Raw genomic sequence first — 25,788 nt, 5'->3', positions numbered from 1 at the left:
AGCCCCTGCACTTAGAGGTGTCAGTCTCCTACCTGGCTCTCTTCCCTCCTTAAGTTCCCAAATAAATATATCCTGACACATAGATTAGTCCCTCCTTTTTATTCTCAGACACCCCAGTTCTCAACTCTGGTTCCCTGGTCTTCCCTCTTCTCTGCTCAGGCCACCCCATCCCTGAAGTCCCCTTAGCATCTGAAATACTGATTCATTGCTTATCTCAGAGGGACCCCACAAGCCTCCAAAGGTCGCTCCCCAGCCCCTTAGTTTCCCAAGGAGAGACCCAAAATAGTGGTACTTTGTTTTTTGTTTTTTTTGTTTTGTTTTGTTTTGTTTGTTTTTGAGACAGAGCCTTGCTCTGTTCCCCAGGCTGGAATGCGGTGGTGCGATCTCTGCTCACTGCAACTTCCGCTTCCCAGCTTTAAGCGATTCTCCTGCCTCAGCCTCCCGAGTAGCTGGGACTACAAGTGCATGTGACACCATGCCCAGCTAATTTTTTTTTTTTTTTTTGAGGCGGAGTCTCGCTCTGTCACCCAGGCCGGAGTGCGGTGGCACAATTTCAGCTCACTGCAACTTCCTCCTCCCAGGTTCAAGTGATTCTCCTGTCTCAGCCTCCCCAGTAGCTGGGATTACGGGCGCCTGCCACCACGCCCAGCTAATTTTTTTGTATTTTTAGTAGAGACGGGGTTTCGCCATGTTGGCCAGGCTGGTCTTGAACTCCTGACCTCAGGTGATCTGCCCGCCTTGGCCTTAAATTATTTTTTAAAGACAGGGTCTCACTCTGTCACCCAGGCTGGAGTGCAGTGGTGGGTGTGATCATAGCTCACTGTAGCTTGAACTCCCTGGGGGATCCTCCCACGTCAGCCTCCCCAGTAGCTGAGAGTACAGAATAAAATACGCCCAGCGAATTTTATTTTTTGTAGAGACAGGGCCTCGCTCTGTTACCCAGGCTGGTCTTGAACTCCTGAGCTCAGGCCATCCTCTTACCTCAGCCTCCCAAAGGGCTGGGATTACGGGCATGAGCCATCATGTCCAGCCCAGGGCGTTTTCTTATTTGTACTGAGTTCAGGAAAGCAAGAGATAACAGCCTCTTTGGAGTTGTTATCTACCTCTCATATTCAGAGAGCAGAATAAGAACAGATGAGGGTTGAGACTCCAGTCACTGGATAGGTAGAGAAAAGGTTGAGGACAGAGGACACATTACTTTGAATGAGGAAATAAATAGCCAGGTATCTATGAGTAGAAATAGCCTCCTACTTACCAAAGGTGTTTGTGGAGTCAGAATTGCGCACTTCCTTCCCACTCCATCCTGGCTAGGGTGCATACAGGCCCCAACCTGCTGGATGCAGCTCTGGTTCATGAAAATGCAGTCCCCCAAAACTGACCCAACAAGCTTTGGGATTCTTCTCTGCTGTTGAATAGCAGGCCATCTTCTGCTGAGCACTGCGTTCTGCTGGGCACCTCCTCCCTAGGAATGGCTGATCATGGCTTGGGCACATGGTACACTCAGTGGGTATTTTTATTCCTTGGCTGTATGCCTGGGGCGTCCACTTGGTCTGTGACATAAGAAGGTGGTGGCATTTCTGCCATATTGTTTTTATCTGCATGTATTGGGAGATGGTCACATTCAGCATTTTACAACATTCAGAGGAATGTAAGGTCTCACTGTCTACCAAATTCCTAAGGTTTGCATAGGTATGTGAGCTGGTACAACAGACATTGTTATCTAACAACACTTCTTGCAGGAAAGAGGGAGAGGCCAAATGTGCATTGATGTGCAGCTAATTGCTCCTTGTCCAGAGTTCAAATATGGAATCCGTTCTGCGTGTCAAACACAGGGCGAGCCGGGCATGGTGGTGCATGTCTATAGCCTCAGCTGCTTTGGAGGCTGAAGAGGGAGGATCTCTTGAGCTCATGTGGCTGCACTCCAGCCTGGGTGACAGAGCAAGACTTCACCTCTTAAAAAACCCCAAAAAGCAAACCAAAAAAAAAAGGGTGACTCTGAAAAACACAAGATACTTATTTGTTATTGGGAGTCACTTAAGCTGGAAATTGAAGCTCATTCATTTATTGCACAAGACTTTTCTGATCTCATGAGAAGTGCATGGGACTCTGAGTCAAAAGGCAACAAGAATTAAAAGCCTCAACTGACTCATGCTAGGGCCTCAGGCAAGTCACTTTGCCTTAATTTCCAAATCAGTGACCCAGGAAAAATGATTCTATTCTTATTTTTTGTTGTTGTTGTTTTTTGAGATGGAGTTTTACTCTGTCGCCCAGGCTGGAGTGCAGTGGCTCCATCTTGGCTCACTGCAACCTCCGCCCCCCCCGGGTTCAAGTGAGTCTCCTGCCTCAGTTTCCCAAGTAGCTGGGATTACAGATTCCTGCCACTGCACCTGGCTAATTTTTGTATTTTTAGTAGAGTTGGGGTTTCACCATCTTGGCCAGGCTGGTCTCGAGCTCTTGACCTCATGATCCACCTGCCTCAGCCTCCTAAAGTGCTGGGATTACAGGTGTGAGTCACCGCGCCCAGCCTGTTGTTTTCTGAGACAGAGTCTCGCTCTGTCACCCAGGCTGGAGCGCAGTGGCGTGTTCTCAGCTGACTGCAGCCTCTGCCTACTGTCATAGCATTTAGAATACAGTCCATACTCTTTTCTCTGGCTTCCAAGGCTGATCTGATCCAGCCTCCCTCCCTGACTCATCTCCTAACTCTCCGCTGGTGTGTGCCAGCCCCACCAACCTTAGTTTCTCAAGCATGCTGGTCTGTTCGCATCCGAGGGCCTCTAGCTATTCACCCAAATCTGCTCTCTCTGGCTGCGTGTGATGGCTCACGCCTGTAATCCCAGCACTTTGGGAGCCCAAGGTGGGACGATCACTTGAGCCCAGGAGTTCAAGACCAGCCTGGGCAACAAAGTGAGACCCCCCATCTCTACAAAAAATCCAAAAATTAGCCAGGCATGGTGATGTGTTCCTGTGATCCCAGCTACATGGGAGGTTGAGGCTGCAGTGAGCCATGTTTGCACCACTGCACTCCAACCTAGGCAACAGAGCAAGACCCTGTCTCAAAACAAAAGCCAAACAACAAAAAAACAAAATCTTCTCTCTCTTTACACAGTAATAGGGTTGTAGCCAGGCAGAGTGCTGCACTACATTTCCCAGCCTCCTTTGTGACACGCACAGCTATATGATCAAATCCTCTCAAATAGAACATGAACAGAGAAATGTGATCCATTCCTAGGCTGGGATTCTATGCAAATTTCCTCTTCCATGCTGTTTCTTCTTCTACCAGTGCAATGAAGCCAAGGGGATGTCAGACATATAAAATATAGACACCCTAGTTCCCTGAATCACTGCATGGAAGAGAGCTGTCCATCAACCTAGAACAGCTGCCTTGAGCTGTAGCATAGAAAGGGCTATGCTACAGTTTCTTTTTTTCTGATTAATTTTCTGATTAATTTCTTTTTTCTGATTAATTTTTAACTTAATTAAAATGCAGATAAAGTTTTTAGCTGGCCATGGAAGTTAAAGGACAAAAGACACTGGGTGCAGTGGCTCACGCTTGTAATCCCAGCACTTTGGGATGCCGAGGTGGGTGGATTGCCTGAGGTCAGGAGTTCAAGACCCCAGCCTGGGTGACAAAAAATAAAAAAGAGAGAACTAAGGACAGATGTAAGGTTGCTTCTCTTTACACCTGATGATACAGTTTGGATATTTGTTTCAAATCTCATGTCAAAATGTAATCCTTAGGCCAGGCACGGTGGCTCATTCCTATAATCCCAGCACTTTGGGAGGCCAAGGCAAGCAGATCACTTGAGGTCAGGAGTTCGAGACCAGCCTGGCCAACATGGTGAAACCCCATCTTTACTAACAATACAAAAATTAGCCAGGTGTGGTGCACGTGCTTTAATCCCAGCTACACCGGAGGCTGAGGCAGGAGAACCACTTGAACCCAGGAGGCGGAGGTTGCAGTGAGCTGAGATCGCGCCACTGCATTCCAGCCTGGGTGCAGAGCAAGACCTGTCTCAAAAAAAAGAAAATAAATAAATAAATAAAAGGAATCCTCAGTGTTGGAGGTGGGGCCTGATGGGAGGTGACTGGATCATGGGGGTGGAGTTCTCATGAATGGTTGAGCACCATCCTCTTGGTGCTGTCCTCAAAACAGTGAGTGAATTCTTGCAAGATGTAGTCATGTAAAAGTATGTGGCACCTCCCCACCACTCTCTCTCACTTCCTCTTGCTTTTGTCATGTGATAAGCCTGCTCCTGCTTCACCTTCTGCCATGAGTAAAAGCTCCCTGAGGCCTCCCCAGAAGCTGAGCAATGTTGGCCCATGCTTGTGCAGCCTGCAGAATCACGAGCCAATTAAACCTCTTTTCATTATAAATTACACAGTCTCACTGAGCACGGTGGCTCACACCTGTAATCCTAGCACTTTGGGAGGCCAAGGCGGGTGGATCACTTGAGGTCAGGCATTCGAGACCAGCATGGCCAACATGGTAAAACCCTGTATCTACTAAAAATACAAAAATTAGACAGGCGTGGTGGTGCATGCCTGTAGTCCCAGCTACTTGGGAGGCTGAGGCAGGAGACTCGCTTGAACCCAGGAGGTGGAGGTTTCAGTGAGCCAAGATCACACCACTGCACTCCAGCCTGGGTGACAGAGCAAGACTCCATCTCAACAAAATAAAAATAAATTACCCAGTCTCAGGTATTTCTTTATAGCAATGAAAGAATGGCCTAATACACCTGATTTGAGCCTTTCCATTCTAGGAAGATAATGGGTGAGGTACTAGAGGTACTATGATCAAAGTCTGTACAACTATTAGCAGGGAGATACTGTTTGCCAATGTCCCAAATTAGTCTTATATGTGGGTATAATAAAAAGTACTACTTCACTGGGGCCAGGTGCAGTGGCTCACACTTATAATCCCAGTACTTTGGGAGGCTGAGGCAGGAACATTGCTTGAGGTCAGGAGTTCAAGTCCACCCTGGGCAACATAGTAAGATCCTGTCTCTAAGAAATTTTTAAAAATTAGCTGGGTGTGCCGGTATGCACCTCTAGCCCTAGCTACTTAGGAGGCTGCTGTGAGAGGGTGGCTTGAGCCGAGGAGTTTCAAGATTACAGTGAGCTATGATTGTGCCACTGTACTCCAGCACTCCAACCTGGGTGATAGAGTGAGATGCTGTCTAAAAAAAAAAAAAAAAAAACAAAAAAACCTACCTCACATAGAAGTCCGCAAGCATACTAACCCCCCTGAATGTAATCTGCCTTAAATCTACATTAAACTCAGCATCAGCAGTCACTGGGGCTAGAATCTCTCAACTGGCCTCACTGACCTGTCTCGGTTTCAGGCACACTTCTGCCACTAGCTATGTCACCCCACTTATGGCAGCCTCTCAGGGCCTTTGAAGTCAGGAAACTGAGGCAGCAAAATGGTGTTCCTGGATTTGTTCTTTCAAAACATATCTGAGTGGTGTAAGAGTTGAAGAAAGAAGAAAGAAACATGAAAAGTGGCTTAACAGTCAAACATGGGCTTATTTTGGAGTATAAACCTGAGAGGGGCTTCTGGCCAACTTAGGTCAGGAGCCTTTTCTCTTACAGACTATGAGTATTTAAGAGTTCAGGGTGGGAGAGCTTATCACAGGCTCGGAATGTTTCTGTGTCTCTTTGTCTTGCTTACCTGGGAGGGAGAGTTGTGTGTCTGTTCCCATACATCTTCCTGCAGCTGCAGGCATCCCCCCACCCCCTGAGTCTGCTTTTAGCTTCCTTATCTTAGTGCACCTAGAGGGAAAGGAATGTGCTTATTAGGGCCCACTGTTTTACTGGGGCTCATTGTATGAGTGTGAAGTTGGGTGGTTACCCGAGACTTTCTCCCTCCTTCTGTGCCTGAGCTGTCTTATCTGTGCTTACTGTCTGCTCTTTCTGGCTGCTTGTCATTAGAAGAGAAGTGATTTCCTTAAGACGCATGAGGTTTGAAAGGGAGCTGGAACGTAAAGTGGTGTTTGTCCAAGACAACGGTGCTCCTGCTCTGTGAAGTGGCTCCTCTGCACTAGGCACAATTCTAGACACTGAGGGTATGGTATTGAGGACAGACATCAATCCCTACCCTCATGGAGCTTACATTCTAATAGCAGAGAAAGAAAGTAAACAATATACATAAGTGAAACACAGAGTATGTTAGGTAGTGGTCAATGCAAAGGAGAAAAATGTAGAAGGGAAGTGATGTGGGGTGAGGAGGAGCAGCTACAATTTTAAATAAAGTAGGCCTCACTAAGGTGATATCACTAAGGTGTTATACTGTCACCTGGTATCACTTTGGTGAGGTCTTCTCTGGCTACTTTACCTAAGTAAGTTATCAAATATTTATCAATTACACCTGTAATCCCCACACTTTGGGAGGTGTGGATCTGTAGTTCCAGTTCCTCAGGAGGCTGAGGTGGGAGGATCTCTTGAGTCCAGGAGTTTGAGGCTGCAGGGAGCTGTGATCGCACAGTACTTCAGCCTGGGTGACAGAGCGAGACCTTGTATAAAGGTATGATTTATATTTATATTTACCAAATTTATTTATATTTATATTTACCAAATTTATATTTACCTGATTTATATTTACCAAATATTTTATTTGAGTAAAGACTTGAAAGAAGTGAGAGAGAAAGTCAGGAAAGTCTCTGAGGAAACAGCATTACAGGCTAAGGAAATAGCAAGTGCCAAGGCCCTGACATGGGAGCAGGCATGGGTTACTCAAGGCCATCGAGGCCAGGGTGGCTCGGAGCTGAAGGGTGGGAAAGCAGGAAGTGAAGGAGAGAGAGCCACAGGAGCCTTGGAGGCATTATAAGGACTTCAGCTTTTACTTTGAGTGAGATAGGAACCCACTGAAGGGTTTGGAGGAGAGGCCTGATCTGATTCAACACAATTATGTTGGCTGTTGTGCTAAGAGTGGACAAGACAGGTAGGTAGGCAGGAAGGCAGGTAGGTAGGTAGGTAGGTAGGTAGGCAGGCAGGCAGGCAGATAGGTAGGTAGGTAGGTAGGTAGGCAGGCAGATAGGTAGGTAGGTAGGCAGGCAGATAGGTAGGTAGGTAGGTAGGTAGGCAGGCAGATAGGTAGGTAGGTAGGCAGATAGGTAGGTAGGTAGGCAGGCAGGCAGGCAGGTAGGTATGTAGGTAGGTAGGCAGGCAGATAGGTAGGTAGGCAGGCAGTAGGTAGGTAGGTAGGTAGGTAGGCAGGCAGATAGGTAGGTAGGTAGGTAGGCAGGCAGGCAGGTAGGTATGTAGGTAGGTAGGTAGGCAGGCAGGCAGGTAGGGAGGCAGACAGGCAGAGTAGGGAGGCAGGTAGGTAGTCAGGTAGCCAAGGGCAGGAGCAGGGAGACCTGTTGCAATAATCCGGGCAGAAGAAATGGTGCCTGGGACCACGGTTACAAAAATGATCAGATAACGAATATATTTTGAAGTACAGTTGATAGGATTCTGGAATGGTTGGATATAGGTAGGGTGTGAAGGGAGGGGTCAAAGTTTTATTTATTTATTTATTTTGAGATGGAGTTTTGCTCTTTTTGCCCAAGCTGGAGTGCAATGGCATGATCTTGGTTCACTGCAACCTCTGCCTCCCGGGTTCAAGCGATTCTCCTGCCTCAACCTCCTGAGTACCTGGGATTACAGGCGCCCACCACCACGCCTGGCTAATTTTTTTGTATTTTTAGTAGAAACAGGTTTTCACCATGTTAGCCAGGCTGATCTCAAACTCCTGACCGCAGGTGACCCACCCGCCTCGGTCTCCCAAAGTGCTGGGATTACAGGGGTGAGTCTCCAAGCCTGGCCAGCGTCAAGGTTTTAAAGCAAGCAACTGGAAGGATGAAGCAGCCATTTACTTCTCGGGGGAAGACTGTGAGCAGAGCAGGTTGGGGGTGATGAAATATTTCTGGCTCAGGGCACTTCACTTTCACACATCTGGGGTCAAGCAGGGAAAATGTTGGCCTTTGGTAACGTTCTAGAAGGAACCAAGCCACACTGGTTCCATAGATAAGGCTTGGTAGTTGGTTAATCCCATTAGAACACTAACAGCTCTAAACAAGGAAGCAGTGTCTCGTGACAATTTGGCGTTTTTATATAAGATGACAATATGTTCTGCTTGCTACATATTTTGAGAGATTTAGAATGATGTTCTTTTCTTGAACATTTATTCTATTCCCTTGTATTTTTACTTTTAAATGTATGGAAGAACTTCAAAAAGTTTGTGGGAAAGTATATTATATAAAAACTATATGCATGGCTTTCAATTTTCTTTTGCACCAAAATACTAACTTGTCATAACATGTTCAAACACAATCTAGATTGAGGAACTAAGGGTAAGACATCAATTTGAAAAAAGCCCCTGGCCGGGCGTGGTGGCTCATGCCCGTAATCCCAGCACTTTGGGAGGCCGATGGGGGCAGATCACAAGGTCAGGAGATCGAGACCATCCTGATTAACATGGTGAAACCCTGTCTCTACTAAAAATACAAAAAATTAGTGGGCGTGGTGGCACACGCCTGTAGTCCCAGCTACTCAGGAGGCTGAAGCAGGAGAATTGCTTGAACCCAGGAGGTGGAGGTTGTAGTGAGCCGAGATCATGCCATTGCACTCCATCTCAAAAAAAAGAAAAAAGAATAAAAAGAAAATAGCCCCTATAGGAGCAACGTGAATTCTGCTAAAACTGAAGCAAGAACAAACATCAAACGTCTGGCGAAGCTTGGGTGGAAGAATGGTGAAATCACTGATGCTTTACGAAAAGTGTATGGGGTCAGTGCCCCAAAGAAATCAGCAGTTTACAAATGGACAATTCTTTTTAAGAAGGGACTAGGCCAGGCATGGTGGCTCACACCTCTAACTCCAGCACTTTGGGAGGCTGAGGTAGGAGGACTGTTTGAGCAGCTTGGGCAACATAGTGAGACCCTGTCCCAAGGAAAAATTAAAAATAAATTAGCCGGGGCCGGGTGTAGTGGCTCACGCCTGTAATCCCAGCACTTTGGGAGGCTGGGGAAGGTGGATCACCTGAGGTCAGGAGTTCGAGACCAGCCTGATCAACATGGAGAAACCCTGTCTCTACTAAAAATACAAAATTAGCCAGGTGTGGTGGCACATGCCTATAATTCCAGCTACTCAGGAGGCTGAGGCAGGAGAATCGCTTGAACCCAGGAAGGGGAGGTTGCGGTGAGCCGAGATCATGCCATTGCACTCTGGTCTGGGCAACAGGAGCAAAACTCCATCTCAAAAAAAAATTATGCGGCTGTGGTGGTGCATACCTGTAGTTGTAGCTACTGGGGAGGCTGAAGTGGGAGGATTACTTGAGCTTAGGAGGTCGAGGCTTCAGTGAGCCGTGATTGCACCGCTGCACTCCAGCCTGGGTGACAGAGCGAGGCTGTCTCAAAACAACCAACCAAAATAACGGACAACACAATGTGGAAGGAGAAGCCTGCAGCAGCAGACCATTCACAACAATCTGTGAGAAAAAATTCATCTTGTTTGTGCCCTAACTGAAGAGGACTGACGATTAGCAGCAGAAACAACAGCCAACACCACAGACATCCCAATTGGTTCAGCTTACAGAATTCTGATTAAAAAATTAAAGCCGAGCAAACTTTCCACTTGCTAGTGGCAAAACAGTTGAGCCCAGGTCAGCTGCAGACAAAAGCAGAGCTTTCAAGGGAAATTTTAAACAAGTGGGATCAAGATCCTGAAGCAGGAGTTTGAGACCAGCCTGGGCAACGTGACAAAATGCCGTCTCTACTAAAAACACAAAAAATTAGGCCGGCCATGGTGGCTCACGCCTGTAATCCCAGCACTTTCGGAGGCCAGGGCAGGTGGATCATCTGAGGTCAGGAGTTTGAGACCAGCCTGACCAACATGGTAAAACTCTTGTCTCTACTAAAAATACAAAAAATGAGCTGGGCGGGGTGGACGCCTGTAATCCCAGTTACTCAGGAGGCTGAGGCAGGAGAATCACCTGAACCCGGGAGGTGGAGGTGGCAGTGAGTCGAGATCGCGCCATTGCACTTCAGCCTGGGCAACAAGAGCGAAACTCGGTCTCGAAAAAAAAAACAAAAAAGGAAATTAGCCAGGCACGGTGGTGCACACCTGTAGTCCTGGCTACTCGGGAGGCTGAAGCATGAGAATCACTTGAACCTGGGATGTGCAGGTTGCAGTGAGCCAAGATTGCACCACTGCACTACAGCAACAAGGCGAGGCTCTGTCTCAAAAAAAAAAAATCCTGAAGCATTTATTTGGAGAATTATTATTATTATTTTGAGACAGAGTCTCGCTCTGTCACCAAGGCTACAGTGCAATGGCGCAGTCTCGGCTCACTGCAACCTCCACCTCCCGGGTTCAAGTGATTCTGCTGCCTTAGCCTCCCCAGTAGCTGGGATTACAGGCGCCTGCCACACCGCCTGGCTAATTTTTGTATTTTTAGTAGAGACGGGGTTTCACCATGTTGGCCAGGTTGGTCTCAAGCTCCTGACCTCGTGATCCGCCCACCTCAGACTTTCAAAGTGTTAGGATTACAGACATAAGCCACCGTGTCCAGCCAATTTTTGTATTTTTAGTAGAGACAAGGTTTCACCATGTTGGCCAGGCTGTTCTCAAACTCCTGACCTCAGGTGATCTGCTTGCCTCGGCCTCCCAAAGTTCTGGGATTATAGGCGTGAGCCACTGCGCCTGGCCTTTTTTTCTGTTGTTGTGAGAGAGGGTATCTCTCTGTCACCCAGGCTGGAGTGCAGTGGCGCCATCATAGCTCACTGCAGCCTTGAACCCCTGGGCTGAAGTGATCAGATCCTCCTGCCTCAGCCTTCCCAAAGTGCTGAGATTACAGGTGTGAGTAACTGTGCCCGGCCCCACTTCTCTTTTCTTAGATTTTTCCTCCCCCAAGCTGTAGACACAGACTTCTGCCATAAAACCCCAAATACATTTATTCTCTTGATACCTTTAGTCTTTTTAAAAATAAAGATGCAGCGAATTCCCCTTTCTCTGTGCCAAGGACCACTAATTCTTTCCACTAATAACTAATGTCTCACAATTCCTACTATAATTGTACTGTAAATAAGAGCTCTGTGAAGTACTAGAAATCTCATTTCAAATGGAACTGAATATCAAAAGATTGAGATCTGAATGACAGAATAATTATTTCTTACCTCCAACTAGTAATAGCCTTTGTTCTCATAATTCTTTTTAGACAGGTGAGAATAGCAGAACAAGGTGAGATTTGTCTAAGCTACTCCCTGTTTAAACTACCTTGTCTGTGTACATAGAAATCCTCTCAAATAAAGGCCCCATGGCACAAATCTATACACAAAGTAATGACTCTACACTGGTTAACACCCTAGGGTATCTCTAAGAGTCTGAAAATGGTTAATTTTTAATCACTTAAAGCACAGACACATCATTTAGAAAGCTTTAGGATAGGCTGGGTGTGGTGGCTCATGCCTGTAATACCAGCACTTTGGGAGGCTGAGGCGGGTGGATCATGAGGTCAGGAGTTCGAGACCAGCCTGGCCAATATGGTGAAACCTTGTCTCTACTAAAAATACGAAAATTAGTTGGGTGTGGTGGCGCGTGCCTGTAGTCCTAGCTGCTTGGGAGGCTGAGGCAGGAGAATCGCTTGAACTCGGGAGACTGAGGTTGCAGCGAGCCAAGATCATGTCACTGCACTCCAGCCTGGGTGACAGAGCAAGACTCCGTCTCAAAAAAAAAAAAAAAATTTCCTTTTAGATCCCAGATAAGAGCTAAGTTTGAAACAGGCTTTGAATACTAAGGCCCAGTAAGACTCAGGCCTGCAGCAAAAATCATCTATTCGGGTTTTCCCATTCAAATATACTTCAGATGAAGTCAAGGCAGGTGTCACTGAGAACGAACTAGAAGTGAGAAGCAAAATTAATCAGACCTGAAAACTGTGTAGAGGCAAGAATTGCTAGTGTGGTTACTGGCATGCAGAAATGGCTGCAAGTGAATAATCAGAAGTCTACCAAGTAAATTGTTTTCCCAAATTAACCACACACTCAGGTTTTAAAAGCCACTGACTCTTTTCCAAGGCTTTAGACAACCCTCGGATCCCCAGGCTTGCACCAAGCAGTAAGCTAGCTAAGAAGGCCACGCCAACTCCCAAGAGCAGACTCAATTCAGGTGGGGCTATGGACAATGGACAAGGGACTTCCTTCAAACTAGGCAATCAGAATTTTTAATAAACTTCTTCACAATGTCTGTTCAGCACGATTTTTTTTTGTTTTTGTTTTTGAGATGGAGTCTCACTCTGTCACCAGGCTGGAGTGCAGTGGCACAATCTCGGCTCACTGCAACCTCTGACTCCCGGGTTCAAGCAATTCTGCCTCAGCCTCCCAAGTAGCTGGAATTACAGGCACGCTCCACCATGCCCAGCTAGTTTTTGTATTTTTAGTAGAGACGGGGTTTTGCCATGTTGGCCAGGATGGTCTTATCTCCTGACCTCATGATACGTCCATCTCGGCCTCCCAAAGTGCTGGAATTATAGGCGTGAGCCACCACACTCAGCCTGTTCAGCATGATTTTCTAATTGTTGGGGCCAGTGACACCTCCATTTCCCATTTCCTTTTCCAATTGAGATCTGCTACTACAGTTATTCTATCCCAGCTCTATCACTGTCTATCGGGTAGAAACAGATAACATTTCCAAGTTCAGAGTTTGCCAGACCTTAAGGGGCCACAATCAAGACCTGAAAGACGTGGCATCAGGGAACTCTGGACGTTGAGGTCAATGGATTGCCTGGGGTGGGATTTGGGGCCATCTCCTTTGGTGAAAAGGTATGTGTTGTCTCTGTCTGTGTAAGTCAACATTGGAGGACTGCTTAGCCAACCAACTAGCTGTACCCCTCATCAGCCTGAACATCTATTTCACAGCCCCGCTTGCTTCTGGCATGGTCATGTGACTGAGTTCCAGCCAGTGAATGTGGGCAGAAAAGTCATGCACACCACTTCCAGGCCTGGTACATAACACCCCTTTCCCTGGTGTGCCAGCTGGATGCTGACGTCCAAGGCAATCTTGGAACCCACATGTTGAAAAAGACAGAATCCTGGTAGCCTGGAACCTACATGGGGCAAAGCCCTTCCCCCACATCAGTCTGTTAGACAAAGCACTTGACTTCTGGAAATTCCATGTAGCATCCTCAAATCCCTTGAGTGACATAATGAATACCAGCTCACATCTCATGAGCACTTACTTTGTGCCAGGTATTCTAAGCACTTCATATGATTAACTCATTTAAGCCCCATAATCTCTCTGATGGTCCCCATTTAACAGGTGAGGAAACTCAAGCACAGAAAGGTTAGGTAACTTACCCAGTCATATAAACCAGTAAGTGGCAAAGCTCAAACCCAATCAGCCTAGCTCTAGAATCTAGTCTTGGCCACCATACTCCATTGCTATTATTATAATTGAGACAGGGTCTTGCTGTTGCCCAGGCTGGAGTGCAGTGGCATCTCAGCTCAATGCAACCTCCGCTTCCTGGACTCAAACAATCCTCTCACCTCAGCCTCCTGAGTAGTGGGGACCACAGGTGCATGCCACCACGCCCAGCTTTTTCATTTTTAGTAGAGATGGGAGTTTCGCCGTGGTGGCCAGGCTGGTCTTGAAGTAATCCGCCCATCTCGGCCTCCCAAAGTGCTGGGAATACAGGTGTGAGCCATCGTGCCTGGCCCAAAATGCGCATCTTTTACATCAGCAGGGAGCTGTCCTCCCGCAGTACTAATCTGGAAGTTAATGGCTTTGAGAGGCCCACTTCTTCTGGGGTTCAGGTACACGCCATAAATTACAATGTCTGGGTATAAGCTATTTAAAGGAGTAGGGAGATAGAGACAAGGACACCACCTTGTCTAACTGAAGTAACCACCTCAATTTAAAAGAAATTGATCAAACAGAAGTCTTATGATAAAAACTTTATTGTCTTAAATATCAAATGTTTTACACACCACTTTTTCTTCAGAAAGTTCCTATTTAAAAAAAGAAAAATAAAATAAAGTGTTTTGATTATTTAGGGCTGACTTACATTTCAGTATGTGACAAAAATTCAAACCCAAATGCATCTAGCTCACTCAGTTTCAGACAGGTCCTATGTTCAGCCCCTAAACGAATGGCACAATGCCACCAATTTTGGGATTCCTGAGTTTGGTTCCCTTAAGTTCTCAGAGTTTTCCCAACTCTCAAAACCAAAGCATCATGGGAGTGACAGGGCCACTGGCAAGACTTTTTGCCAGTCAGCCTAGTTCTTCTTTTAAGATGCAGTAGTCTCAAAGCTTAAAGTCAGAAAATCTTGCAATACAAGAGTAACTGCAAGAACATATAAAGAAGGAAAAGAAAGGACGGGGTTTCTAGTTGCTAAGATTTGCCAAACATGGCTACAAAACTGGTAAACAAACCTTTCTTGAGTGCAAAGTCCATTAGCCCAACTTGCCATGAAGAGATTTGAAATAAAAATGAACAAATCAATTTCTGTTGTAGATACAAAGCGAAAAAATAAAATTCAATCAATATATTGAATTTCTCTGAGTTTATCACTAGAACTATTTCAAAAGGATGATCGGGGATAGAATAGAAATCTAGTCATTCAAATGGGAAGGTCTTGGATGGGTGCCATAAACTCAGCTGTGAAGATTCAGGAAAGGAAAAATAAGTCTGGTCAGCATCAGGTAATCTCAGACAGAAGGAATCAGGAAACGAATCAGCCTGCCTCGGGAAGGAAATACAGGTCTACCATTTTTAGGCCATAGACACATTCATTCAGGGTTGTGTGTAAAACCAACTCTTGTAAACAAAATAACTTCCCATCAGAAATGCATGTTCCCAGGAAAAAAAATACTGCAGCATGCCCCCCTCCCCAAATTAGCTAATAAAAACCTTCTTGCAGAACATAAAGAAACCTAGTTCTGTATAAATTATCATAATTTTGTATTTCATGCCCCCACGACCCCAATCTTCCATAGTTGGCTTAACATTTTTAGGTAAAAGAAACATTCTCTAACCCCCATGCCCTTGAACCATTTTCTTGGCCGATTTCATTCCAGAAGATAGTGCCCTAAAACTTGTCAGCTCAGCTGTATCTTTTCACATTCTACAGCCTCCAGAGGGTCTAGATTACCAATCATCAATACATAACTGATAAACCTTTGAGAACATTTTCTAACTGTAAACCTCAGAAGTCACTAGTAGTTACGATCCAGAAATTCTACCTGTATGCTTCAGCATTACAACATATATGTGGCATTTAAAATAACAGGTTAAAAAATGTCCCTTTGATGAAGCTGTCCTGTAGACAGGCCTGGTAGAGCCTCAAATACTCCTGTCAATCCTGTCCACCAATCCCAGCCATCGCTGATTACATGTTCTGCTCTAGATTCCCGTTTTCACAAGTTGCACCCAGCTGCTTTAAAATAGCACATCCTGCAGAACCCTCTGCTAAGTCGTGCTAGCCCAGATGGTCAGTATTCCGGAGCAGCCGTGCTCACAAAGGGATGTGAGGAGGATGCTGCCGCACACTCCATGTTTCTACCCTGCATGTGAGGTGGTCTGATGGATTGACTGACTGTCACTGGTGCATTTTTAGGGTCATCTTCCATTTATTTGTTGCACTTCTTTCCTGGCCATCCCCTCTCCTCCAGCATTGTAAATGGATTTCTCAATAACTGATCTCCTCAGGCATTTATACATGTTACATATTTTGTTGGTTTCTCTGATTCCATTTAAAAAAAAATTTTTTTTTTTTTTGAGACGGTGTCTCACTCTTGCCCAGGCTGGAGTACAGTGACGTGATCCCGGCTCACTGCAACCTCCGCCTCCCGGGTTCAAGCGATTCTTCTGCCTCAGTTTCCCGAGTAGCTGGGACTACAGGCATGTGCCACCATGCCCGGCTAATTTTTTATTTTTAGTAGAGGTAAGGTTTCATCATATTGGCCAGGCTGGTCTCGACCTCCTGACCTCATATCCACCCACCTTGGCCTCCCAAAGTGCTGGGATTACAGGTGTGAGCCAACGCACCTGGCCTAAAAAAATAGATTTTTAAAGAGCTGTTTTAGGCCCACAGCATCTGATTCCATTGTAAGCCTGATTTTCCCAGTCTGCTCTGAAGTGGAACCAGGTAACTCTAATATGACTTTTAAAATAAATGCATGCTAACAGGCAAAAATAGATGTTGCTTTTGAAGCTAAAATTTGTTTCACGTCTCCCTTCTAGACTGAAAGCTTCACAAGGGCAGGGTTCCAATCTGTTTTAGTTACCCCTGAATCCCCAGAGTTCACCTGTGCCTGGCACACAGGCACTCAGTATTTGATGAATGAATCAAAGTAGCAAGGAATTCTTGTTCAAAGACTCATGTTGCATAGCCTTCAAGAGTACCAATTTCCTTTCAAATATGTAAGATCTTCTTGAACTTTTCTCTCCCTTAACCAGCACAACATTGATAGTAAAACAAAGAACATAAACATCTAAAAACTGTTTTTGGTGATTCAAAAATCCCTATTATAATCATAGCACTAAAGAAATCTAATGGTCTGATGCAGGATAACTGTGAATCAACTCAGTCAAGGTGAGCCTGAGGACCACTCTGTGTGCCCTCCATCTCCAGGAGAGCTATTTTCAAACTTTCCCCTAATACTCCTCTCATTCCCCACCAAAATTTGATGCCTCTGCTATTCAGAGAAACTAAGGCACAAAAGAAAATCAAGCACATCGAAGGTTCACTCCTAAGTTCATTCAGTGAACTCCTAGTAACACCTACTGAGGAATCACTAAGGTATAAAACTTGAACCATGATTTTACATTTCCAGTTCTCAAGGACAGGCTTTGAATTTAATTTGTTGTTAAGAGTAATTAGCAATTCTAGGGAAAAAAAAGCTATTTTTATTTTCTCTACCTCCTAACACAAAAGGTAACATTCATCTTCTAGGAAGGGAAACTCTTGATAACTCTGTGTCTTTCTAGGTCAGCCACAGACTACACTAAGTCACCAACTCCAAAGGGGAAATTTGGCTTTTTGGTGAGTACTTGTGCTAGAGAACAGTAGAATGCATAATCTGGTCAGCTTCTCTTGGGACACACTGCCAGTGATAACAGGTTTGAAATATGCAGCAGTTCAATCATCCTGCTCACCCTCACCACAGGTGGCAAACAGGTAGGAAAAGGCCATTGCAACGCCCTGCAGCTTTTCTGGCCGATGATTTGCAAGGCTGTTTGCTATATATATATATATTTATATATGTGGCGGGATAAAAGCCACCATAAGTGAAGAGTACGTCTGTAGATATAAAAATTGCTTGCTTTTAAATCCATATAAAATTAACTATACTTGTCAATCACCATATGTATATGCTAGCTTACACACATATATATAGACATGAGCTTAAAAGTTAACCTAAATTTTTATGGCTTTCACCGGAGATAGAAAGCTGTAGTAAGACAACCAGCAGATTCCACATTAACTGGTTATCATAAAATCAGTGACAAAAAGCCTCATGTTCCATTTCTATGTACCCTCTTGCTAGAGACATGCTTTGGGAAAAAACACATAGGGTTGTGTCTCCCTTTAGTACATATGAAGACAGGGAGCTCTAGAAGATGTGGGCTGCAAGGCAGAAGAGTTTTAACACATGCACTCGCCATCTCTCCAGCTTCCTTTGCCAAGCAACTGGTTACCTTTTTTTTTTTTTTTTTTGAGACAGAGTTTTGCTCTTGTTGCCCAGGCTGGAGTGCAATGGCGTGATCTCTGCTCACCACAACCTCCGCCTCCCAGGTTTAAGTGATTCTCCTGCCTCAGCCTCCCGAGTAGCTGGAATTACAGGCATGGGCCACCACACCCGGCTAATTTTTGTATTTTTAGTAGAGATGGAGTTTCACCATGTTGGCCAGGCCTGTCTCAAACTCCTGCCCTCAGGTGATCCACCCGCCTTGGCCTCCCAAAGTGCTGGGATTACAGGTGTGAGCCACCGAGCCTAGCTGCAACTGGTTATCTTTATGTGTTAATAGCTGAAGCCCAAACTGTGGGATGAAGGCTATTGGCTGTCTGGAGCCCTGAACAGGTATGAGTGGAAATAATTCTTAACAGCATCAATGAGCAAAATCTATAACCTATGTAAAGCTGCTGTCTGGTTACCAAGCACATCTTTCCGCTCAAGAACCAACTTCAGGGAAATGGCACAAATTACACAGGAAAATCTTCTCTCTCTGGTGAAGAAACAGAGACCGCCCTTGTAGTTAAGTGCTGACCGCAGAACTGCCCACTACTGGTTATGGTAAAGGAGCTGTCCGGTAAAGGTGCCCATTACTGGTTATTACTGTTGGCAACCAGAATTCACAGGGATTTGATGGTATTCTTAGAAGTTAACCCATAATTTCTGCATTTCTGGAGCTCTTAATTGAATAAAAGCTGACGATGAAGGTTCACTATTGTAATGCTCCTTAATATACCCTTTGCATTCTAGAGCTGCTAAATTTAAGTCATCCAAAATATTAACAGTGTCAATAGCTTTTTTTTTTTTTTTTTGGGTGAGACAGAGTCTCACTCTGCCGCCCACACTGGAGTGCAGTGGCGTGATCTAGGCTCACTGCAACCCCCATCTCCCAGGTTCAAGCAATTCTCCTGCCTCAGTCTCCCAAGTAGCTGGGATTACAGGCGTGTGCCACCATGCCCAGCTAATTTTTTGTATTTTTAGTAGAGATGAGGTTTCACCGTGTTGGACAAACAGCTTTATTTTTATAAAAATGATGGGCAAGAAGATTTTAAAAATCAAAAGCAATTATACTTTGGCCTTTATGTAGTCCCAGCTACTCAGAAGGATGATTAAGCCCCAGAGTTTGAGTCCAGCCTGGGCAACACTGCAAGACCCCATCTCAAAAATAAAATGATGGAAGGGACAAGGATATTTGGCAAGTGGGTTAAGCTCATTCAGAGTATTCCTAACAGGAATTCATGTACAACTATAGATCTATTCCTAAAAATAAATATACATATACATACACAAAAAGCTATCCTAATGAAATCTTTTCCCGACTGATATTATATATTCCACTTGGAACTGTTTCCCAAATATCCACACTGAATTGTGTGCCAAGGTTCGTTCTGCTTACATGGAAGGCCCTTTAGGAGGGAGTCTATTGTCATCAGTAAGTTCCCCCACCCTTCCCACCCCGTGGTTCCAAAGATTTATAAGCTTAGAATACATTCCCAAACCACCACCCATAAAGCAAATACAGGGTCCCATTGCATTGCTACTAGATTTTGCATCAATCATAGCACCAACTATTTAATTACAATCACAGCTTTAAGTCAGCTGACAGAAATCCTATGAGCAGTTTCCTAGTGCATCGTACATCTTTGGTGTAGGGCAGGTGAAAGGGTCTACAATGTGCAGCTGTCTAAAAGAACATCTTAAAGACAACCTGGCTGACCTGTTGTTCTTCACGCCCTCTGAAAAGCAGTAAACTACAATTCCTTCTGTCAACCATTTCCTAACTACATAAAGGATCATGATGAATCTACGTGACACGCCATCCCATCACTAAAGTCTTATAACATACATACAAACATCATAGCAAAAGGAAAGAAAGAAGTTGGATGGGGTAGAAAAAAATGTCTCTAAGTGCCCCTAAATTAAAATTTCAAAAACTCCTGAGATATGAGCCTCCATTTTGATTGTGCTCAATGACTTAAAATTTGATGAAACAAACAAGCTTACAAAGAGTCAGACTTCAGACAAAATCATTTAACACTAAGTTGAGAAATCACTCTTTCGAAGCTTCTGTTTCAAACATGTTACAAACTATAATCTAGAATCAGAAATTATGAATCTCAAAATTCTTTTCAATAAAACCAAGACTTCAGATTCCTGCTAGGTACCCAAAAGAGCAGTTTGCCAGGAAAGAATTATCTAAAACCTATCCAGTAGGATTATTGCACAGTGGGGCCCACAGGACAATGATTTCCAAGGGCTAGTCCTTATATAAAAAAAGGCCACAATAAATACATCTATATATTATGCCCCACTCTAACTTGACATGGTAAACACAAATAAGATGAATTTTGCTTAAAAAAGAAACTCCTGAGGAAAGAAAAGGATGGAAAACTCTACCAAGGCCACTTAAGTCAGAAACTGTAATTACTATTTCCACTGCCACAAAGGACACTCTCCAAATAGACTGACCGTTCCAAGCACCAAGATTAACCAGTGACAAGGTTATCACACTTAGTATTTCACTCAGATCACAGCTCACACTGAGCGTTTGAAGAACTTCCTGGCAGAAGAGTCTAGAAAGGAAATAAGCTGCTGGCAATGAATCCATTCCTGAACTTAATTCCACCATTAGTCATTAAGGGTTGAGGTGTTATCAGTGAGATGCTAGCAAACCCAAACTCTAGCAAATTCCAGTGTTTAGGCCATTATTTTTCCCTCACAGTTCTTGACATCTGCAAATGGAATTATGGTTGTTCTGTTCTTTTAAGAATCTGGGTAGCACCACGTTTCACTTGCATTGTAACTCCCCCACAATATCCCATCCAATGTAATAAGGATTCATGGCAATCCATGCAGCAGCCTGTGATGCACAAAGTAGCCCAAGATTTAAACCCTCCTGCTCGCCCTATTAAAATGTCAAATCCTAAGCACACAAATAAAAACATACCACTCTACGATAAGATATTCAATTATTCTCCAATTTCCTGTTATAATTAATGAATCATGATACACAGAGCACTGGGTAGAATTCCAAACACCAAATTATGTGGTCAAAAGTTTCTAAATTGACAACTGAGCCAGCAAACCATACCTTGCCATCAGCACAGACACACAGTCACAGTGTGGAGAGTTCATCTGTTTTTAGCTGGATGGGTAGTGGGATTTCTCATGGCTTCTGCTTTTCAAAGCATTTACTCTCATTCTAAAACAGTATGCTACACACAAAACCATCCATTTTATTCCAGGATACATCTTAATGAGAATAAAAAGCTTCTGTATGCACATACTGCCAATACATTTAAAAAGGCCTAAATTTTAACAAGTAGGATAGACAAATTCATCAGACAAAAGATCATAAATTACTTTGGCCGAAAAAAATCTTTAAAAAAAATCTGGCTCAACATTCTGCTTGCAGGTTTCTATATATACTGTATATGTGGTGAGTGTGTATGTGTGCGTGTATATAGAGAGAGCTTTCTTTTGTTTAAAGGGAATGGAGAACGGTCTAGCCCACTTTCCCACAGTCATGTAGGAACTACGATGTTTTTTGCGAGCAAAACAAGAAGTGCAAGGTCTGCATTCCCACCAACTCGATGCAAAGCTCCAAGAGCTTCCTGCAAAGTAAAGCCAGCACGGAGAATGCGGTCAATATCTGTGGCAGGAAAAATCAATGGTGGAAGAATGGCAGGACTTGATGATGGATGGCTGGTAGGTGGTTCATATTCAAGTAATGGCCTCGAAGCATCAGGACAGACATTTTCTCTGGTTTCAGGCCTGTCTGTTACTGAATTCTGTATGCCCTGACCTAAGTCTTTAACCAATATGAAATTGGATGACAAAGACTTAGTTTGCTCAGAAGTCTGATTGAGTGCATCCTCCTCACCTGCTAAAAGTTTGGGTGAAATTTCTACACCTAAGGTGCAGTGTAACTGATTGGATGTTTTAGCTGAGGTTACAGTGACAGAACGGTTCTTATTTATGGATTCCCTAGATTTGGGGACACCTTCCTTATCGGTTGACAGGCCATCACCTAGACTCCTGAAGTTTACATTTTCTACAGCTTCTCTTCCAGTGTCAGATGAAGTACCTGTTAATTTTTCTGTCTCCACTGATACAGATATGGCCTGATGAAAGGAGACTTGTGGACACTGTTCATTCTGGGTAAGATGCTCATTTTGGGTCCATCTTTCAGAAAGGTCTTTAATACTGGTTTGGCCCTCAGCTATGGTTTCTGATTGACAGATTACTTCTTCAGATGTATTTTCTGAAGCTGGTTTACTGCTAACAACCAAAAGTTCATGAAGTTCTTTCAAGGCTGCCGTTATAGACGGGCAAGATTCTTCTGCTGACTCCACAGAAGGCTGACAACTGCCACAGAGACTTGGAGAGGAGTAATGGCCATATTCTTTATTTGTTCCAGGTATTTCAACATTAGTTTCTGGGGGCTGTAAATCCTGAGTGGAAATGGAATCATTCAAAATTTCAGATGAAGGGTTACATTTTGATGTTTCTACTTCCATCAAGGGATTATCTAAAGTGAGATCCAATGCACCAATGTTCTTGACATTGGCATTCTGCCTGCCTGTTGAATTAAGCAAAGTAACTAGGGACTGTTGAGCTGTATCGATTTCCATAAATGTTTCTGAATTTGAGCAGCCACTGCATTCTGAAGATGGAATACTTTTCTTCGCACTTGGAGGATCCACATTCTGTGGGAGCCCATTTCCTTTCATCGTAGCTTCCAAATCAACAATTTTGTGTTGATTCTGTTGCCTTTCTTCAGGAAGCTCAAGGTCCCCTATGTTACAAAGATATTCTTGGTCATGTGAAGCTTTTTGTTGTGCAACCTCATACTGTTCATTCCCTGGTTCTTCGTGCTGCTGAGGGTCACTCACTTGACTCAGGTTCTGATTTTCTGGATGCCAATCCTTTTCACCTAGAAACATCTGTGGTTCATGCATCCTAGTAGATGTGACAGATAAACTAGCTTCCTGTCTTGTATGGAGATGAAATTTGAGGCCCTGGGTGCTTCTTTCAGCAGATTTCTCCAGATTACCTGCAACAGTTATTTCTTCGGATGAATTCTGCATAGGCATAGCTGGACTCTGGTCTGTTGGAGCATGGTCTGCTGAGGAAGCATGATCAGAAAGATCTTGTAAAGAAAGATGTTCTTTCTTTTCAGAGTTTAGCTGGAATTCAGCTGAAGCCTTCAAAGCCTTCACAGCTTTAGGTTCAATGCGATCTGAGTCACTGGGCTTGATAGGGCAGACTGAAGCAGAGACAGAGCGAGCAAGACTCATAGGATTACCAACATCAGGACTCTGTCCTGAAGAACGGGCGGGATGGTTAAACCCATCTGAAGTTGGTAATGATGACATTCCCAGTGAGGTAGATTCTTTACCACTTTTCTCTATATGGAACACAGGGGAAAGGAAAAAGATTAATTAGCAGGTGACTAATGCCACTAAATTACCAGAGGATACAAATCTAAACAGCGTAGAATAAAATAAGGTCCTCAAACTCGGGTTTCTCTTACACAAATAGAAATGATTTTAAAATTACTTTCTCATTGTGGTAGACATTCACAGCATCAGAATAAGAGGTAGACATGTTCTTAATAAAATCTGCATACTGTAATTCAATGTGATTAAGTATCCATTAATATGCATTCACATAATGGCGGGGTTAGTGCTCAGGAATGAAGGACATTTATGTTTCTTTATTCCCTAGTCTAGTCTACAACTCTAGAATAGTTTCTCCAAGTGTACTTTTTTCACCACTTGCCCTAAAACCACCAGGGACGCTTGTGAAGTATGCAGACCCTGGGGTACCATACTTGAGAGTAAATCCAGGAATGTGCATTTTCAATAAGCTCCTTGGGTGATTCTTAAGGATATTACAAATCCTGAGAATCTTTGCACCAGAATGATTCTCATGTTAATGCACTTTTCTTGTTTCAAATGTGAACACTGAGGTTACAAATGAGAAGTCTTAAACCAGGTATACCTGGACAGAGAGGGAATTATAAAGAGAAATAAGAAATAACATAATGCTTGGGGACAGAGAAGCAAATGTTCTATTTTATTTCTAGCCAAGCTTTCCAAAAATCATGGTAAAACTGGGTGAGCATCTGACTCAGAAAACAAAAGTAAACTAATGATCAGCAGATTAAATCACAATCATCATCCTACCAAATAATACAACTCTAAACTTAAAAGGCTTATAAGTTTTTATCACATCAATAGTGTGCAACTAAGTTAAGAATATTTAAATGTTTTAAAGAAAGGGGAATGTGGAGGGAGATGGTTCATTAATAGTTTTTCAACTGGCAATGACTATTTAGATTCACTGCTACCTTAGACCACCCAAACAAGACGGCTCAGTGTAAGCATCATAGTATCATTAAACATCATTTCCAGCTCTTCTTTTGCCACCAATCCAGTTAAAAATTGACCTCTACGCATGTAAGTGTAAGAATTTTTTTTTTTTTTTAAGACTGTGTTTTGCTCTTGTTGCCCAGACAGGAGTACAATGGCGCCATCTGAGCTCACCGCAACCTCCGCCTCCCGGGTCCAAGCGATTCTCCTGCCTCAGAGTAGCTGGGATTACATGCATGCGCCACACACCCGACTAATTTTGCATTTTTAGTAGAGATGAGGTTTCTCCACGTTGGTCAGGGTGGTCTCAAACTCTTGACCTCAGGTGATCCGCCCGCCTCAGCCTCCCAAAGTGCTTGGATTACAGGCAAGAGCCACCGCACCCGACCATTGTAAGATCTTTAATTAAAAATCAAAAAGGGCTGGGCACAGTGGCTCATGCCTGTAATCCCAGCACTTTGGGAGGCCGAGGCAGGTGGATCACCTGAGGTCAGGAGTTCGAGACCAGCCTGGCCAACGTGGTGAAACCTCATCTCTACTAAAAATACAAAAATTAGCCAGGCGTGGTGGTGGGTGCCTGTAATCCCAGCTACTAGGTAGGCTGAGGTGGGAGAATTGCTTGAACCCAGGAGGGAGAGGTTGCAGTGAGCCAAGACTGCACCACTGCACTCCAGCCTGGGTGACAGAGTGAAACTCAGTCAAAATAAAAAATAATAATAATAAAAAATAAAAATCAAAAGGTCAGTAACAAAAATGACTTCAAAATACAATCTATTATTAGGACAGATGCAACTCAAATGCTCAGTACTAAATGTTAACATCCAACAAGAGGGCTTGATCTTAAAAAGCAGCAAAGCAGTTATATTCAAAAGGCTTTAAATCATTCTAATAAACTACTGGTTAACAGCATGAGAAGACAAAGCATTGTTTCAGGAAGCTATTGACTTCCCATGAAACAATCTTACCTTACTTACACTTTAGGAGTAAAAAGGAAAACTGCACTTATCTCAGTTTAGGCTATACCCATTAGAGTCTAGAAACACAGTTATTAGTTTTTTTATTTTCATACCACCAGATGTCTAACAGTTATTAGTTTTATTTAAAACTAAGGCTGACTCTGGAAGAGGTTGAATTTTGAACTAATGTTAACAGAAACAATGCACTGTAGTGAAATATCCATGTAAGCAACATAAAGAGGTATGGTAAGGGCCTTCTGGTATTTGTGTGTTAGTTATAAACAAGTGAGGTCAAGGTGAACACACCCTCAATGAATTTTGTACTAAAAAAGTAGCATATAGTCCTCTTGTAGCTGAGAAGGTCAGTTTCACTAGCCTAAGTCCTAAACGTAGGGGAGGACTAGGTCAGTTTACAGAATGACAGGAGAAGAGGATGAGGACAGTGGATATTAAGAATAATTCAACTATGCCTGCTTTTAACCTATCCTTACAAGGAAAAGAAAAAGGAAAGAAAGAAGAGAAACTAAATGCTATGTATCTAATTCCAACCAGCTTGCAAACTCCTACAAAGTCTTATGATGCTGGTTTAAAAGACCATCTTTCCTCCTCTTAGTAAGTCAGCCAATGTATTCGAGCTGATGTTTACCATTATTTACATCAGAGGAAATGGAAGCAGAGTGCTTCCTGAAAATCTGTCAGGCCAGAGACAGAAGGAAAAGCAAAGTCTTAGTTCCTGTTGTTCAGAGT

General features: G+C 43.9%; 3 protein-coding genes across 4 annotated transcripts in view, besides 3 other annotated features; all 3 read right to left on the bottom strand.

Annotated features, from left to right (window-relative positions):
- Positions 1-1,449, bottom strand: part of PLEKHM2 (pleckstrin homology and RUN domain containing M2) — a 53,264-nt gene extending 51,815 nt beyond the window's left edge. For both annotated transcript variants that reach the window (XM_017000757.1, XM_017000758.1), the window contains exon 1: positions 1,256-1,449. In XM_017000757.1, coding sequence (XP_016856246.1) covers positions 1,256-1,354 — 99 coding nt within the window. In that variant the 5' untranslated portion in view covers positions 1,355-1,449. The remainder of the gene's footprint in view (positions 1-1,255) is intronic.
- Positions 2,571-3,071: an enhancer, noted in NCBI's record as "H3K27ac hESC enhancer chr1:16006379-16006879 (GRCh37/hg19 assembly coordinates)". NCBI's record gives its function as "activates a minimal SCP1, AML or CMV promoter by ChIP-STARR-seq in naive H9 embryonic stem cells {active_cell/tissue: H9 hESC(naive)}" and the evidence as "EXISTENCE:reporter gene assay evidence [ECO:0000049][PMID:30033119]".
- Positions 3,774-4,321: a silencer, noted in NCBI's record as "fragment chr1:16005129-16005676 (GRCh37/hg19 assembly coordinates)". NCBI's record gives its function as "represses an EF-1alpha promoter that drives an FKBP-Casp9 reporter gene in an ReSE screen in phorbol 12-myristate 13-acetate-treated (for megakaryocytic differentiation) K562 erythroleukemia cells {active_cell/tissue: K562(+PMA)}" and the evidence as "EXISTENCE:reporter gene assay evidence [ECO:0000049][PMID:32094911]".
- Positions 13,911-25,788, bottom strand: part of DDI2 (DDI proteasomal shuttling factor 2) — a 51,587-nt gene continuing 39,709 nt past the window's right edge. The window contains exon 10 of the mRNA NM_032341.5: positions 13,911-23,118. The gene's annotated coding sequence lies outside the window, so the exon portion shown is untranslated. The remainder of the gene's footprint in view (positions 23,119-25,788) is intronic.
- Positions 14,534-14,734: a silencer, noted in NCBI's record as "peak82 fragment used in MPRA reporter construct". NCBI's record gives its function as "represses an SCP1 promoter by STARR-seq MPRAs in K562 erythroleukemia cells {active_cell/tissue: K562}" and the evidence as "EXISTENCE:reporter gene assay evidence [ECO:0000049][PMID:32103011]".
- Positions 20,922-23,242, bottom strand: RSC1A1 (regulator of solute carriers 1). The gene has a single exon (NM_006511.3). It carries the CDS (start codon positions 23,084-23,086, stop codon positions 21,233-21,235), a length of 1,854 nt encoding a protein of 617 aa, NP_006502.1. The 5' UTR covers positions 23,087-23,242; the 3' UTR covers positions 20,922-21,232.

The sequence above is a fragment of the Homo sapiens genome, chromosome 1 (assembly GCF_000001405.40).
Source record: "Homo sapiens chromosome 1, GRCh38.p14 Primary Assembly".
Lineage (NCBI taxonomy): Eukaryota > Metazoa > Chordata > Mammalia > Primates > Hominidae > Homo > Homo sapiens.
This window is presented reverse-complemented; position numbering and strand designations above follow the sequence as displayed.

Coding starts and splice junctions, on each gene's coding strand:
- RSC1A1 (NM_006511.3), bottom strand. CDS start 23,086: ATGTCATCATTACCAACTTCAGATGGGTTTAACCATCCCGCCCGTTCT.